Source organism: Homo sapiens, chromosome 14, assembly GCF_000001405.40.
Source record: "Homo sapiens chromosome 14, GRCh38.p14 Primary Assembly".
Taxonomy (NCBI): domain Eukaryota; kingdom Metazoa; phylum Chordata; class Mammalia; order Primates; family Hominidae; genus Homo; species Homo sapiens.
The window spans coordinates 100,630,710-100,647,650 of record NC_000014.9 but is presented as its reverse complement, the minus strand read 5'-3'; the positions used below and the strand labels follow the sequence as shown (position 1 = coordinate 100,647,650).

The following is a 16,941-nucleotide window of genomic DNA, read 5'->3' as shown; positions in this document are numbered from 1 at the left end:
ACCTTCCGCAAAACACTAGAACATGAACACAATTCAGCCAAGTTCTTTGTACTTTGTAACAAGGGTGGCCTTTCCTTCCTTGTCCAATGATACATTTCACCTTCTGTCTGAGTTCATCGGAATGGCCTGTGCCATCCATATTTCTACCAACCTTCTGTTAATGACTGCTTAGGTATTCTCTAAGAAGCTGGAGGCTTTTTCTGCAGCTCTGCTCCTCCCCGTCTGGGCCCTCACTAGAATTCACCTTATGATCCACTCACAGCAATGCAGGTTTTTCCTAGAATGCACCTCAAAACTCTTGGCAGTCTGTACCCATTACCCAGTTTCAAAGCCACTTCCACATTTTTAGGTATGTGTTACAGCAGCACCTCTACTTCTCCATAACAATTTTCTGTCTTAGCCCATCTTGGCTGCTATAACAAAATACCATAAACTAAGTGTCTTATAAATAACAGAAATGTATTTCCCATTGCTCTAGAGGCTGATAAGTACAAGATCAAGGGACTGGCAGATTTGGTGTTTGGTAAAGATCTGATTCCTCCTAGACAACATCTTCTTGCTGTATCCTCACGTGGTGGGAGTGGGAAACTAGCTCTCCGGATTTCATTTGTAAGGGCACTAATACCCGTGAGGAGCGCTCACCTCTCAAAGGCCCCACCTCCTAATACCATCACCTAGTAGGGGTTTTGGATTTTAAAGTATGGATTTTGCAAACATTCAGATCCTAGCAAATGGTTAATGGAAAAGTACAGCAACCAAAAACGTGCATGGTGACAGAGGACTCACAGCCTTCATGAAGGGAGACTAGGCTCACTCCACTAGTTAGAGGCCAGCTGAGGTTCTGGCTAAGGACAGGGGAAGTGTAGAATGGGTAGTTGAAGAAGGAAGCCATTGATATCAATTCTAACCTCACAACTACCTTACAGAAATGAGTCCCATAGTAGCTATTTTCTACTTGTTTGTTTTATGTACATACTTATCTGTAGAGGCTAATCATTTTTTTTGAAACAGGGCCTCACTTTGTTGCCCAGGCTGGAGTGCAGTGGCGTGATTACCGCTCACTACAGCCTCAACCTCCCAGGCTCAAGTGATCCTCCCACCTCAGCCTCCCAAGTAGCTGGGACCACAGGCAAGTACCCACCATGCCTGGCTAATTTTTTAAACTTTATGTAGAGGTGGGGTCTTCTTATGTTGCCCAGGCTGGGCTTGAACTCCTGGGCTCAAGTGATCCACCTGGTCCAGCCTCCCAAAGTGCTGGGATTACAGGCGTGAGCCACCACACCCAGCCTAGACTAATTATTTTCTTCCCCTCCTTTCCATTTTTATTTTATATCCAAACTGTTGGAAGTTAACTTCACAGTTTAGTGTGTAGGTAATAAAATATTTAGTGGAAATGCAAATGAATTTGAGGAGTAATTCACATAGTCAGTGACAGAAACACTGGCTGCTGGACTGCATGTCTCCTCGTTTCAGAGAGAGGGCAGAAACTGTCATGGGTAAGATCTGTAGCTGCATCTTGTTAGGTGGAGATATAAAGATGTTTTGCTGCTGTACAGGAGTCCAAATGTGTGTAGTACACATGGAAGGTGAGTAGCCAAAGGGGTGGACCGTGCCAGTTATCAATTTATTGTCTCCCAGCTCCGAATCTGCCCTGCATTGGCTGTTGTATTAAAAAATGAGCTGGTGCCTTTGTGATTTTCTTTGCCTGTCGACACCACATTAAGCTTTGTCAGCAGAGGGCGCTGGAGAGACAGGACAGGAGGCAGGGATTTTCCCTCCTGGTACTGGGCGGTGGCTGGGCAGACTCCTGCAGTGTGGGCGGCCTCTCCAGCAGTGCGGTGAACGCAGTTGGCAGCTTCCCTCTGCTCTCTCTAGGGTGGGTTTGTAGCAGATATCTCCTCATGAACAGCCTCCCCAGCACCCTAAAGGGTGGATTTCCAGCAAGCTCTGTTGGTGCAGCCCACAGCCACATCCACTAAGCCACAGCTGTGCCCTCCCCACTGAGCCCTGGTCGGGGGAGGGTCTTCCTTGGCTGCTGTATCTCAGAACTGGGGTAGCAACTGCTCCTTATGCCTGCAACCGCTAGGTTCTTTCAAGTTCCCTTCACTCCTTACTGCCCAGTCCCTCATTACTGCAGAGCCCCGTTATAATCAATAATCTATCAACTTGCCTTGATCAGATTACTGTGTGGATTCTGTCTGCTGTCTGGAGTCTGGCTGCTACACTGAGCTGAAAACCAGGAAGTTAGGGCATGGCTTAGAATGATTTCAACTGCAATAAGTTCTCCTTAAGAGGTAACTGTGTGCCGGTCACCGCACCCCGAGATACAGCCATCAGAGGTGCATGGTCTCTGTCCTGGCAAGTTTACAACCAAGGGGGATAGACAGTCACTAGGCAAAGTGTCACAGGCAAAGATGTGGCTGCACTAGAAAATGTCCTATAGTGTTAAGAACTGTGAAGCAAAGTTAAAAGGGCAATTCAACGCAGTGGCCATGGCTGGGAGTGGGCAGCAACTCTGGGGGGTGTTCAAGGAAGGCCTCTGTGTGGAGGTGACGTTTGAGCTGAGACTGAAGAAGTGCAAGGAAAGACCGGGGCGGAGGGATCATTCCTGGTGCAGAAATAGCGATTGCAAAGGCCCCGAGGTGAGCATTGATCTGGCCTTTTTGTGCAACAGAAAGAAGACCAGGAGTTCCAGGAAAACAGGAGGAGGAAGTGGTAGAGAATAGGTCTGAGATAAGACAAGGGACAGAGGATGGGGGCCTTGCAGGCCAGAGCAGATGTTATTTGAAGTCAGTAGAAAGTCCCTGGAGGGGTTTAATCCAAATATGCATAAAGAACGATTTTTTAAACGTGAAGGTTCCCTTTAGTAGGATGGGGGGAAAGTGGGAGACATTGCACCCCATTAGTGCTGTATTGCAGCACGTTACCGTGGCTATTGCTGTTATGGTGAACACCTTGTGCATGTTTTGTTCCCACAGTCATTAGCTTTACAGCTCCCTCCTCCAGGCAGTCTTCTCAGACCTTCGCTGGCCAAGCTCATCGCCTCCTCTTTGCTCTGCAGTTCCACCCCAAGCCTCTTGTGCTCTCCCTGGCTGTTCTCACTCATTCACAGTGTAGACATCTGTTTCCTGGTCAGTCCCCTGCCCCTTCCTGTCTCTGCCACTGGGATGCCACCCACTCAGTGAGGACAGCATCGACCAGCACACTGAGGTCAAGCTAAATGAGGCCGGGCACAGTGGCTCATGCCTGTAATCCCAGCACTTTGGGAGGCGGAGGCGGGTGGATCACTTGAAGTCAGGAGTTCGAGACCAGACTGGCCAACATGGTGAAACCCCATCCCTACTAAAAATACAAAAATTAGCCGGGCATGGTGGTGTGCACCTGTAATCCCAGCTACTCAGGAAGCTGAGGCAGGAGAATCGCTTGAACCTGGGAGGCGGATGTTGCAGTGAGCCGAGATTGTGCCATTGCAGCCTAGGCGACAGAGAGAGACTCCATCTCAAAAAAACAAAAACAGACTAAATGAATACAGCTGACACTATACCTCATACCAGGAATGTCCAACCAAAACAGCAGAAATAAGACCCTGTGAGACAGGCAGGGTGGCAAGTGCTCCTGTCCCCATTGTACAGAGTAACAAGACCAAGGTCCAGAGAGGTGCTCAGGGTCACACAGCACATGGGTGGTGCCAACTCCAGGGTCAGTGCCACAGCACTTGGCCTCTCTGTACCTCCTGTGTAGGAGCAAGGCACACAGCTCTCTTGCTGGTGCAGCTGGGGAAACCGAGGCCAAGTCCCAGACCACCCAGCTAGGGGGAGCGTGTGCCTCTCACTCTCAGGTTGGTGTGACTGAGAGTGACCAGGCACTGGGCTGGATTGCCAGGGCAGGGGAGGGCAGGTCAGGCTGTCTCTGGCCAAGAGGGACGCAAGGGCTAGAAAATCATTACAGGCGGATGAATTATTCACAGTGCCGTCAACCTCCTCAGGCCCCGACTGCGCTGAACAGCCCAGCGCATCTTATTACCCATGTGTGATGGCCTCTTTCTCTGTCTCAGAAGAAAGTGATTCAACACCATCAAATATTAATTTGGGGCGGCAGACACAGTGGCCACTCACATACTGGCCCTTCAACACTGCCCCAGCAGTCACAGATGACGCCAACCCAGGAACCAGAGATGTGGCCAGCAGGGCCCAAGAGGGCACAACTTTCCTCCAGCCCAAATCACAAGGCCCCCATGCAACAGCCTCAAACCTCAGTCCATAACCTCAGGCGCACCGGAAATGCTACTTACTTTGTTTTCCTAAAATGGAGTTTCATGTTGATTTTGCACACTGTTCTCAGTCTTGGTTTGGGGTCCCTGTCTCTACCCCTGGTCCTTCCCGGGGCTAAGGATCAGAGGAGCCCTGGGGTCTGTACTAGTTTCCCGCAGCTGCCTTAACAAAGTGCCACAGACTGAGGGGCTCAAGCAACAGAAATCTATTCTCTCAGGGTTCTGGAGGCTAGAAGTCTGAGATTGAGGTGTTACCAGGGTCACACTTCTCTGGAGGCACTAGGGGAGGATGCTGTCTGGCATCCAAGTCTGGTAACTGTACTCTCTGAAGTCTGGTAACTGCTGGCAACCTTTGACTATGGACAGGTCATCCCCATTTCTGCCTCTGTCTTCATATGGCTTCTCCTCCCCAGGTGTGCCCCTGTGGCCTCTCCTCTTCTTTTCTTTTCTTTTTTTTCTTTTTTTTTTTTTTTGAGATGGACTCTTGCTCTTGCTCTGTCACCCAGGCTGGAGTGCAGTGGCGCAATCTCAGCTCACTGCGACCTCTGCCTCCCAGGTTCAAGTGATTCTCTTGCCTCAGCCTCCCGAGTAGCTGGGATTACAGGTGCCCACCAGAATGCCTGGCTAATTTTTGTATTTTTAGTAGAGATGGGGTTTCACCATGTTGGCCAGGCTGGTCTTGAACTCCCGACCTCAGGTGATCCTCCCTCCTCGGCCTCCCAGAGTGGTGGGATTACAGGTGTGAGCCACTGCACTGGGCCTCTCTCCTCTTATAAGAACACCAGTCCTTGGATTAGGGCCCACCTTATTCTGATATGACCTCGTCTAACTGAATGACATCTGCAATGCCCCTGTTTCCCCCAGGCCTGTCTCTCCATGTCCCAGGTCCCCCGGATTGGAGTTACCTACTCATGTGCCTGCCCCTCAGGGTCACCTCCCTGGAGTGGGGCCCAGCTCTCTATCACCAGCTTCAGCCCAGGTAGGGGCTCCAACAGTGTAAGCTGTTATCAAGATCAGTTTGCTTCCTAGCCCTTCCTCTTCTGCCCTGGGCCCCCCACACCATCCTCATGCCCCTCCACCTTGAGCCGGCCCCTGCCCCCTCAGTCCTCCCCCTCTGGTCCTCATTCATCCTGAGCCCAGGCCCATGACCTCAATGCCCCCGGCTTCTAAATAATGACACCTTCCACACCCTCATCTCCTCCCTCCTCCCTAGTCCCCTTCTCCCCTGGCCTGGGCTGGTGACTTGGTGAGGAGGATACAGGGATGAGTCTGGAGCTGTCCAGAGGCCAGTGGGAGCAGCTGATCTGTAAAGAGACAGCACAGGGCGCTGCGGGGCCAAGGGAGCCTGAGGAGTACAGCGTGGGGTGGTCAAAGAAGGCCTCCCTGAGGCTTCATGGGAGGGCTGGACATAGCCAGGAACAAGGAGGGTGTCCGGGAGCAATGGCTGGAGACAGAACCGCTGCCAATAGTCAGGTGTGTCTGTCTGCAGCACTGAGGGCTTTGAAGTCAGGCTGGGGAGGGAGCAGGGCGGTCCAGGGGAGCCCCCATGCCCAGCAGGCAGGGCCTGGCCAGATCTGCACTACATCCAAATAAAGGCAGCGCTGTCAGGCAGCTGAGATGCAGCGGGGACTAGAAGCAGAAGATGCAGGGGGAGGAGAGCTGAGGCCCAGCAAGTCGCAGTGGTGTGGCCACCAGGAGCTTAGCCTCAGAGCCAAACTGGCCAGAAGCCAAGGTCAGCAGCCATACATCTCTGGCATGAGATCCTGTGCAGATCACTAACGCCTCATGCCTCAGTTTTCTTATCCGTAAAATGGGGATAAAGAAGCAGTTTGAATGACACCTGGTGCTTGTTAAGTTCTTAACAAGTGTTACCAACTTCCCTTACTGCTTGTTATTAATTACCTTATTAAATCCTCCCAGCAACCTGTGGGAGTAGCCCTCATTAGCCCCATCTACAGTTGAGGAGACTGACTAGCAGAGGGAGTGAGCTTCCCAGAGTCCCTGGGAGTGCTGAGCATTTCCTTCATGCCAGCCACAGGACTGTGTCCTCTCCGCCCAGGATTGCAGAGCAGGACAAGGACTGTGTCCTCTCCGCCCAGGCTTCCAGAGCAGGACAAGGACTGTGTCCTCTCCGCCCAGGCTTCCAGAGCAGGACAAGGACTGTGTCCTCTCCGCCCAGGCTTCCAGAGCAGGACAAGGACTGTGTCCTCTCCGCCCAGGCTTCCAGAGCAGGACAAGGACTGTGTCCTCTCTGCCCAGGATTCCAGAGCAGGACAAGGATTCCGGTCCCCACAAACCAGACTAGAAACAGAAGCTTGAGACAGCCCCAGACTGCCAGGAGGCAGTGGCAGGGCGGACACTTCAACCCAGATCCCCCGACGGCAGAGCCTATGCTCTTAATGCCCAGCCTGCCAGGGCCCACCACATCCTGACTCCAGAGGCTTCCTCAGCAGGGTCCGTGGCTTGTTTTCTTTCATACTCATGATTCATGTTCTGAAGACACCCTATTGCAGGATCAGCACATTCTCCGGGGCCCACATTGGAAGAATGCGTGTATCAGGACAGCCCAGGACTGACTGAGCATCCCCCATGAGGGATTTGTATTTCCGTCATCCCCACTTCCCTGGGAAGCGGCCAGGACCCTCAGAGGAGGGATCAGGGAGACCTGGGGAGCCTGCGGTGGCAGCTGCGATGGCCTCCTGCAGGCCAGGATCCACTTAACCCAGAGCGTCGGCTTGGTGGCTGGGAGCCTGTGCGAGGCAGGATGTGGTCTCCCGCCACCAGGGTGTCACCTGGCGATTTTAACCACAGTGCAGGCGTGAGCCACAGTCTGTTTGTATCTACATCTTTGTTGAACACTCATTCCTTTATGCAACAAAAGTTTGTCAAGGCCCTATGTGGGGCAGGCATCCCTCCACACACTGGGACACAGAAGTGAACAGACAGACCCAGGTCCGGTGGATGAGACAGAAATAAGCAAGTCATTGCCCCATTCGTTCATTCATGACGTGCGAAGCCAGCCGGGGAGATGTGGGGCACAAGAAGCCCACAGCAGAGGGGCTCTAGAAGGCTCCCTGGAGGCAGAAACAGCTAGAAAGAGGGTGACCAATGAGAGGAGGAGATAGCCGGGCAGTGGAAGGGGCTCTGCAGGGCAGAGGGGGCAGCCCTGATGTTTTTTCCTCTCTGGATGTGGGCCCGCGCCCTGACAGTGCCCGTCACCAGGTGTGCTCACCCTGACGTTCACAAGTTGGTTGAGGGGCTCCTCCATGTCAGGCTCTGCATGGGCTCGGGGACATGCAGGTAGAAGCCACGACCTGCCTTCCAAGACTGCCCCCAACGCGTTCTCCCTCCCGCTCCCTTTCTCGCAGTGCCCCATCTGCCATATGGCCCAGCCTTGAGGATTCTTGCTCTGGTGGGGGTTGGGTACCACTGAGAAACGAGGGCATCGTTGGGGTTGGGAGATGGAGCCTCTGACCTAGAAGCCTCCAGAGTGTTCTGGAAACTTGGCCAAGCCCTGGGAAGTCCCCATGGAGCTACTCAGGTGGGGTCTACAGGATGGCAGAGGGAGGCGTCTCGGGCAGACCCCGCACGTTAGGCCTTACAGCCGGCAGCAGATCCTCACCACTCCACCACCAGCCTGGGCAGTGCATCCTCTACCCCGAAGTGAGGTATAAAAAGCCAGCTCCCACTACGTTATGCCCCTGCTTAAAAGTCTTCGTGGATCCCCACTGCTCCCAGCAAAGAGGCCAACTCCCAAAATTCCTGGGCCCTTCTCCTGTCCCAACCTCACATGCTTCACCCTCCCTGGAAGGCTCATTTCCACCTCGTCTGTCTTAGACTCCTCTGCATCCCCCAAAGGCCCTCTCAATATGCCCTCCTCTGGGGTGCCCTCCTCTGGGAAGCCCTCCCTGACTTCCTTCCTAGCAAACCACAGTCCCTTGTGCTCAGCTCTGCTCCAGCCCAGAGCTCAGGGAATAGGACCTGTCTCGCTCCGCATCATCTCCCCCTTGGACTTTCAGTTTCTCAGGGGCAGGGGCCGTTGCTGCCCTGTCTCTCCTAGCACTGCTGCCCCTGTCTCCCCTGGCGTTGCTGCCCCTGTCTCCCCTGGCATTGCTGCCCCTATCTCCCCTGGCATCCTCTCATCCATTCATCCACACTTAGCGCATTTCTGTGAGCCAGGCCCAGGTCAGGCAGGAGCCTTGCCCTGTGAGAGGCATTCCAGGGAAGGTGCCAGGCCCCCTGTTGTGCCAGATGCTAGAGGTGAGCTTTCTCTGAGCGTCCTTGGAATGACCTTGTGGTGAAGGGACGGCTGCACTCCCTGAACAGGTGGGGGAGCCAGGCTTGGAGAGGGGCGATACCTGGCCCACCATTTAGGACTGTAATTCAAGCCTGCCTCACTCCAAACACTGAGCTGGGCTGACACCCAGAAGCCCAATGGGGGAGACAATTGTCAGGGAAGGGGCATCTTCCTGAGATCTAAGGCCTTCAGGGGGCAAGTCAGACAAGAGCAGGGCCCTGCCTCAAGGGGCTGGAGACAAACAGTGACCAAGGCTGAGGCCCAGCAGGCAGCGGGGGCTGTGTGCCCAGGACTGGGGTCAGGCCCAGGGGAACGGGACAGCAGGGACACCCTGCCTTCAGTCAGGCCTGGCTGGGAGGAGGGCTGAGTGGGTGGGTGGGGCCAGCCTGGGGACCTCAGCGGGCCCTGACAGCAGGCACCAGGCCCCTAAACACAGCCGGCCACGCGCCCTGGAGGCCTGGGCCTCTCCTGAACCCACAGGCCTCCCTGAGTGGAGGAGTCGTGGGCAATGGGGAATTCCCCGCAGGTGAACCAGGCAGAGGGCTCCTGCTACAAACACACACCATTCCCCAACAGGAGCGCCCACACCCTCAGATGAAACCTGGAGAGGGAAGGGGCAGGCCAGGCCTTCTGCTGGGACAAGACAGGGCTGTTGGTACCCGGGGCTCCGGGGCACTGAGGGGCATCGACGCCAAGGCCGCATCCACCCAGCCCATGGGGTGGGAAGGCACAGGCTGGGAGCCCCCAGTGTGGGCTTGGGGCCTGGCTCTGCTTCTCCAAGATGGGACCCAAGTCCATCCCCTCAGCCCTCTGAGCCTGGGTGTCTTTCTCCCTAAATCAGCCACCCCTGCAGCCCTGTGTCCTCACACCTCCCGCCTCTGCACACGTCTTGGATATGAGGACTGGTTCAGCCACTAACAGCTGGCACAGGCCTGGCACATAGTGAGTGAGTGAGGGAATAACAGTAATAACGCCAGGTTGCAGGGAAGTTGTGAAAACTAAGTGAGAGGGCCCACGAAAGGCTTCACGTGTCAGGCATCACACACAGCTGGTGCAGAGTTGAGGCCAGCCCCTCTCTGTTCCGTTCTCTAGAACTCAGCTTGATGTCCAAAGCCAGGAGCCTGGGGCCAGGCCTCGAAGGCCAAGCTCAGAATTCTGGGACGTATGTGAGGTGCCACTCCTCCCTGCCACCCCCCATCCAGCCACCTCCAAAGATCCAGCTCCTAAGCATACGCCAGGCAACATTGCCAGGAAATCTGCCCTGGCCCCAAGCTCATCAGTGCTGCCCTCCACAGACACATGGCAGCGTAAGATGAGGGAAGCTGCTGGGGCTTGGAAATTAGGGGCAGCGAGGAAGCTGTGCTTTGTGGGAACCCCAGGATGCCTCCCAGCTCCTTGGACCAGCCCCTGAGCCCTGCCACTGGCCACACCCCATACCTCCCTCCTCTCATGTGTCCAGAGAGGAGTTTGCCAGGACATCCTTGTCCTGCATTGTCAGGCAAACCTTCCCCCTAATCCACGGCTATGGTTGGTCTCCTCTGGGCCCAGAGCCCATGTAGACCCTGCCACGTTACACAGAGACACCCAGAGATAGGTGCTCTCAGAAGGGGAAGGGGGGGTCAAGTTCACTGACTGCCCAGCAGCTGGCACTGAATGCTCACAGCACCACCATGAGGTAGGTGGTTCTGACCCTCATTCTATAGAGGAGGAAACGGAGGCTTTGAGGCGGTCTCATGGCTGAGACATGGTGGTGATTATGCCTGTGAGTTTCTAAGTTGAGTGCACCTCATTGAAAGCTCACCCTCAGCCTCAGATTTCTCACCTGTAGCTTGGCGATAAGGATACCTTCCCCTTGGATGACAGTGACGATTGATTGAGATAATCTTTCCCCCAATCCATCAGCATTGACTGAGCACCTACTGTGAGCCAGGGGCTATCCCAGGAGCTTGGGATGCATCCGTGAACAAAACAACAGAAAAAAAGTGTCTGTCCTCGTGGAATTTACATTCGAGTCAGGGGAGGCAGAAAATAAACAACCAATTCAAAAGCCAGGTGGTGGCAAATGTTTTAAAGAAAATACATCTGCCAAAAGGGGGACACAGAAGGGGCTGCATTGCTAATGTACGTCCTCTTACGCGTTGTCAGCAAAGGCCTCTCTGAGAAAGTGGAATTTAGGCAGAGTCGGAAGGAAGAGAAGCAGTGAGCCATGTGGTGTCTAAGTAAAGGGCATTGAGCAGAGGGCACAGCCAGTGCAAAGGCCCTGAGGCAGGGGCACGAGTGCACGTGGGAGGAGCGTGGAGGCCCGGGCAGTGGAGCAGGGCAGGGGAAGGAGCAGGGAGTGGGATTGGAGGTGCAGCGGGGCCCACAGGCCGTGTGAGGACCTGGCCAGGGCCCTGTGCAGTCTCTGAGCAGATGTACTTTTATCAGCCTCCTCTGGCAAAGGCCAAAGCGAGAAGACGGGAGCGCAGGACACCACCGCAGTGGTCCACAGGGCAGAGGACCATGCCGGGACAGGGCAGGCATCACAGAGGCCGGGAGAGGCAGTCAGCTTCTGGATAGCCTAGAACTGCACTGTCCAATATGGGAGCCACTAGCCCCAGGTGGCCCTTTTAATTTAAATTAATTAAAATTAAATGAGAAAGCAACGTGAGTTCCTCAGTCACACTAGCCGTATTCTGAGCGCTCGGTGGCCATGCTAGGGACACAGACAGAAAACACGTCCTACCGGCCACTGTAGGATCCACAGAGCCAACGGGGCCACTTCCTGCCTGGATGTGAGTGGGAAGGAGGGGAGCCAAGGGCCACCCCGGGTCACTGTGGCCCCCAGCACGCAGGGAAAGCTTGAGGAGCTAGCTATTGTTGTTAGTTTTACTTGTATTCATTCATTCCCATACAATTCATTCCTGAATGACAGGGCAGATAGGCTTGGTCAGGGGATTGCGGAGCTTGGTGCAGTTTGTCGACCCCCATTCCCCTTCTCTCCAGGCTCAAAAGAGTCCTAGAAGACCCTCAAGGAAACACCAGGAGGGGATGCCAGCAGCCTCCAGCCCCCACCCACAGCCCTCTCCGAAGACGGAAGGTTATCCCTGCAGCCACCACCCCCTGAGCCTGGAGCAGGCACCCTGGGTTGGGGGCAGGCACTGTGCCCCTTCTGGCCCCAGCGTTGGGCAAATCATCCTCCCTCTCTGGTCCTCAGTTTCCCACTATGGAATGATGGGCTTGCCTCATTCTGGTTCCAGGGCTCATGACCAGGAGAAAGCCCCAGCTTAGGGGGTGCAGTGTGTGTGTGTGTGTGTGTGTGTGTGTGTGTGTGTGTGTGTGTTGTGGGGTGTCTTTGGGCACATGGTGTCAAGAGCAGAGATGATGAGCGGATGATTTCACTGGAGAATCCACCCAGCTCTGGCTGAGTTGTCCGCACCTTCAGAAGCCAAGAGGCCAATTGTAGCCTTTCATCATGGTGATCGGCAAAGTACAGCCCCTGTCACTCAGGCGCCTGCAGAACAGCAGCTCCCACTCTTTGAAATAAATGACTCTCCCATGTCTCCTGACTCTCCCCCAAATAACCTGCTCGAGCTTCCCAGCCAGCACCTGACAAAACGGGACAGAGGGTGGTTTCTGTGGAAGGCTCACTGCAGATACCTCCAGGTCGGGCCGGGGTATTTGTGTGATCAGGGCGGGGCAGTAACCCTAGAGCCTGCTGCCCTACAGAGGAGCTACTAATTGCAACGTGAATTTCCAGAGCCTCTCCATCTGTGTTAGGGGAGGTGATGTCTGGCCCACCCCTGGTGGCTGCTGGCACATTTGGATAACAGTCCACACTTTAGGAAGAGCTGGAACCTCTCCCCCAGTGATCCCAAACAGATCTGCTGGCCTCATTTGATAGCAGCAAGATGGTTTGGGACCACGGAATGGACAGCCCATGCCAGAGAATGAACAGCCAGCCCCAGGTGCCTTTCAGCCCCTGCAGAGACCCAGAGAGGATGTGTCTGTTTCCAAGACAATGAGCATCAAGAGGCCAAGGCCACCAGCTTCTTTTCTGCTTCTTCCCAGGGCCATCTGTTGACCCAACCCTGGACTTTAATATAGGCTTGACCCCAAAAGTTCAAAACAGGAGTCAAGAGAGATCACAAATGGAGACCAGGCGAGAAGCATTTTCTGATGTACCAAGATGTAAACCAAACGCACGGGATTTTGAAGGCGTCTCTGTCCCTTGCTGACCCTCAGTCAGCAGCGGGGAGAGGATGCGCCCCAGGTTATAACCATATTTATGCGGAATGTTGGGGTTTGGCCAACATTGAAAATGGAAGAATGGGAGTTTATTTTCCAATTCATGGTGAAAAGATGAAGTCAGAGTTTCCTCATTGTAAATCCCGCTTCCCCCAGGAACTGCTCCTTGACCTCCAACACCTGCTGCTACAGGTGGGCCTTGGACAAGCCCAGGGAAACAGAGGTCAGCCCAGTTCACTTGCTAGGGAAGCCTGGGGTCCCCTGTGAAGACTGCTTGTCCCCGAGCTGCCCTCAGAGGGGACCATTGCTTTGCTGCTGGCTGCCCTGTCCCTGTCATATGGAGGCTCCAGCATCCTCTCTGTAGGCTTGAGCACTGAACGGCAGAGGCAGGATGGAAAGAAGCATATCACTAGTTCATGGAGGGCTCCTGGGGGGCTTGCAGCCCACGGCCGGCTCACCTGTTTGGTTCTGGTGCTATAATCTGCACTCCTGAGCACCAGCTTCCAGAAAGCCTCTGCCAGGCTCAGAGCAGCCACCTGGCTGCTGAGATGCCAGCCCTGGGCAAGAGTTGGCCTGCCCAGGTAGCTCTTGCAACAACGCTTTGACTCGGCCGCGTCCAGCTGTGGGGACCAGCTAATGAGGAGCAGCTGCCAGTGGGCGGGCAGGATCAAAGCACTGTCCCCAGGTGAAATCAGAACACAGCTCATCAAGAACACGGCTCACCTCGCTTAGCTTGCTAATCTAAACTTATGCTCTCGCTGTCTGATAAATAAATCCTCTGCAGCCTGCCCTGCCTGTAGGATGAGGGCAAAAACACAAGCGTTTAAGTCACAAAGTCCTGGGTTCGAAGCTGAACTCTACTTCATAGCTACAAAGCCTGAGGGAGCCAATTACCCTGCCTGGGCCCTGCTTCCTCATCTATTAAACAAGGATAGTGACGTCCCCTGTACCGGATTATTAGGGAGTTCAATTACACATGGCAAGAAAAGATCCTTGCCCCAAATGGGCACTCAGAAAGTACCCCAAAAAGCATAGACATATATGACATAGACAATAAAATGCACCCATGTGCTCATCACCGGATTCTAGACTTATAATTACAGTCTGTCTTTAGGTCATCAAAATTTTTGGCCAATTTAGTTTAAAAATCCACCTTGCTGAGTTAACACTGGCACTGTGCAGCCTCAGCGTGGTGGACTCACCTCGAAGCTGGCAAGGAGGTGGGGGCTGCCTCCTCCTGGGAGCAGGGAAGCACACACACACAGCCGGGGAGGCGCCTGCCCGGGGTGGTCCCCCGCACTGGAGTGGGTGTCGCATGACCCCCCCTACTACAGAGATGAGCAGTGAGGGATGGGGTGGGAGGGCACCAGGAGATACGTCAGCATCCACAGGTTTGCCCTGCCCAGGAGTCAGTTTGGGTTGTGAAAGGAAGAGATGGTTTTCGGTCCCAAATGCTGATCAAGTTGTGTATCAACTTGAATAGTGCGCCATGCAAAACTCACGTCCTCTGGAACCTCCGACAGCTCTCATTTGGAAGTAGGGTCCTTACAGATGTGGTTCGTTGAGGTCCTGCTGGACTTGAATGGGCCTACATTCTGATGACGGGCATCCTTATAAGACAAGGAGGGGGCACAGAGAGACACACACTGGGAAGAAGCGCATGTGACAATGCAGAGAAAGATTGGAGCCATGCAGTCACGTGCCAGGGAAGGCCATGAGCCTCTGGAAGCTAAAGAGGCAGGGAGGGTCCTACGCAGCCCCCGAGGGAGCGTGGCCCTGCTGGCACCTTGATTCTGCACTTCTAGCCTCCAGAACAGCCACAGACTAAATGCGTGTTCCTTTAAGCCTCCCAGTTTGTGGTCATTTTTTATGGCAGCCCCAGGAAACTAAAACAGGTTGGGAGGGAGGTGTTGAGCTGTATGGAGAAACCGCAAGGGTGAGAGTCGGAAAGACCTGCCTTCCCATCCCGGCTCCCCAAAACCTCCCTCAGCAGCCCAGTTTCCCTTCTGTGACCCTCCGTGGACTCATCTGTGAAATAGAGCTGTTAAAATAGTCCAAATAGGTATTGAATGAGTATCCAGTTTTTGGAAGAGTTAATTCTCAAATGTGTTTATCAAATCTACTTTTTCTCCCTGTTTTCCAACTGAATTTCTCTTTTTGTGTCTTCTTCTATCTTTTGAGTTTTGTATGTAGTTCGTTTATTTCCTTTATGCTTTTTTGTTTTTGTTTTTGTTTTATTATTATACTTTAAATTCTAGGGTACATGTGGACAACGTGCAGGTTTGTTACATATGTATACATGTGCCATGTTGGTGGCTGCACCCGTTAACTCGTCATTTACATTAGGTATATCTCCTAATGCTATCCCTCCCCTCTCCCCCCACCCCACGACAGGCCCCGGTGTGTTATGTTCCCCACCCTGTGTCTAAGTGTTCTCATTGTTCAATTCCCACCTATGAGTGAGAACATGTGGTGTTTGGTTTTCTGTCCTTGTGATAGTTTGCTCAGAATGATGGTTTCCAGCTTCATCCATGTCCCTAGAAAGGACGTGAACTCATCAATTTTTATGGCTGCATAGTATTCCATGGTGTATATGTGCCAAATTTTCTTAATCCAGTCTATCATTGATGGACATTTGGGTTGGTTACAAGTCTTTGCTATTGTGAATAGTGCCGCAATAAACATACGTGTGCATGTGTCTTTACAGCAGCATGATTTATAATCCTTTGGGTATATACCCAGTAAGAGATAGCTGGGTCAAATGGTATTTCTAGTTCTAGATCCTTGAGGAATCGCCACACTGTCCTCCACAATGGTTGAACTAGTTTACACTCCCACCAACAGTGTAAAAGTGTTCCTGTTCCCTCCACATCCTCTCCAGCACCTGTTGTTTCCTGACTTTTTAATGATCGCCATTCTAACTGGTGTGAGATGGTATCTCATTGTGGTTTTGATTTGCATTTCTCTGATGGCCAGGGATGATGAGCATTGCTTCATGTGTCTGTTGGCTGCATAAATGTCTTCTTTTGAGAAGTGTCTGTTCATATCCTTTGCCCACTTTTTGATGGGGTTGTTTGATTTTTTTTTTCTTGTAAATTTGTTTAAGTTCTTTGTAGATTCTGGTGTTTTTTGTTTTTTTGAGGCAGAGTCTCGCTCTGTCATCCAGGCTGGAGTGCAGTGGAGCCATCTCAGCTCACTGCAACCTCTGCCTCCTAGGTTCATGCAGTTCTCCTGCCTCAGCCTCCCAAGTAGCTGGGATTACAGGCGCCCGCCAGCACACCAAGCTAATTTTTGTATTTTAGTAGAGACAGGGTTTCACCATGTTGCCCAGGCTGGTCTCAAAATCCTGAGCGCAAGCAATCCGCCCACCTCAGCCTCCCAAAGTGCAAGGATTACAGGCATGAGCCAACATGCCCGGCCTTTTTTACTTTATTTTATTTTATTTTATCACGGTCTTTCTCTGTCACCTAGGCTGGAGTGCAGTGGTGCAATTATGACTCACTGCAGCCTCTAACTCCTGGGCTCAAAGCAATTCTCCTGCCTCAGCCTCCAGAGTAGCTGGGACTCCTGGTGCACACCGCCATGCCCAGGTAATTTTTAAATTTTTTTGTAGAGACAACGTCTCACTACGTTGCCAAGGCTGATCTTGAACTCCTGGCCTCAAGTGGTCCTCCCACCTTGGCCTCCCAAAGCACTCGTGATTACATGCGTGAGCCATTGCACCCAGCAGTTGAAAATATTTGGTGTTACGAATTTGCCAGTGGTAATACTGCTTTGTTTATACCCTGTAAGTATTATTCTCAAGATCATTATTTTTTAAGTATTCTGCAGCTGAAATGCTCACATCTTCTTTGACTCAAGATGTATGTAGTGGAGTGTTAGAGTTTTTTTCATTGTCTTTGGTTTTGTTATTTCTATTGTTGTGTCGTGGGTAGCCAATGAGGCACTGGCAGCATCTGCATGTTGATATTAATTAAGGTCTACTCTGTGGCCTTATACGTGGTCAATGATCATAAATACCCCATCAGGACAGAAAAGGAAGGATAAGCTCCTGTTACAGGGTGCAGACTTTGAGAGGTATCCAAGTTCATAAGGCCGCCTCAGTAGGGCTTGGGGGAGAATTCCAGACTCCTGGGGTCCTCTGAAA

The 16,941-nt window shown here is 52.9% G+C and overlaps 5 annotated features.

The window, feature by feature from the left end:
• Positions 1,976–2,476: an enhancer, noted in NCBI's record as "H3K4me1 hESC enhancer chr14:101111512-101112012 (GRCh37/hg19 assembly coordinates)". NCBI's record gives its function as "activates a minimal SCP1, AML or CMV promoter by ChIP-STARR-seq in naive H9 embryonic stem cells {active_cell/tissue: H9 hESC(naive)}" and the evidence as "EXISTENCE:reporter gene assay evidence [ECO:0000049][PMID:30033119]".
• Positions 6,927–7,026: a silencer, noted in NCBI's record as "silent region_6092". NCBI's record gives its function as "represses an Ori minimal core promoter by ATAC-STARR-seq in GM12878 lymphoblastoid cells {active_cell/tissue: GM12878}" and the evidence as "EXISTENCE:reporter gene assay evidence [ECO:0000049][PMID:35858748]".
• Positions 7,830–8,329: an enhancer, noted in NCBI's record as "H3K4me1 hESC enhancer chr14:101105659-101106158 (GRCh37/hg19 assembly coordinates)". NCBI's record gives its function as "activates a minimal SCP1, AML or CMV promoter by ChIP-STARR-seq in primed H9 embryonic stem cells {active_cell/tissue: H9 hESC(primed)}" and the evidence as "EXISTENCE:reporter gene assay evidence [ECO:0000049][PMID:30033119]".
• Positions 8,330–8,831: an enhancer, noted in NCBI's record as "H3K4me1 hESC enhancer chr14:101105157-101105658 (GRCh37/hg19 assembly coordinates)". NCBI's record gives its function as "activates a minimal SCP1, AML or CMV promoter by ChIP-STARR-seq in primed H9 embryonic stem cells {active_cell/tissue: H9 hESC(primed)}" and the evidence as "EXISTENCE:reporter gene assay evidence [ECO:0000049][PMID:30033119]".
• Positions 10,770–11,770: an enhancer, noted in NCBI's record as "H3K4me1 hESC enhancer chr14:101102218-101103218 (GRCh37/hg19 assembly coordinates)". NCBI's record gives its function as "activates a minimal SCP1, AML or CMV promoter by ChIP-STARR-seq in primed H9 embryonic stem cells {active_cell/tissue: H9 hESC(primed)}" and the evidence as "EXISTENCE:reporter gene assay evidence [ECO:0000049][PMID:30033119]".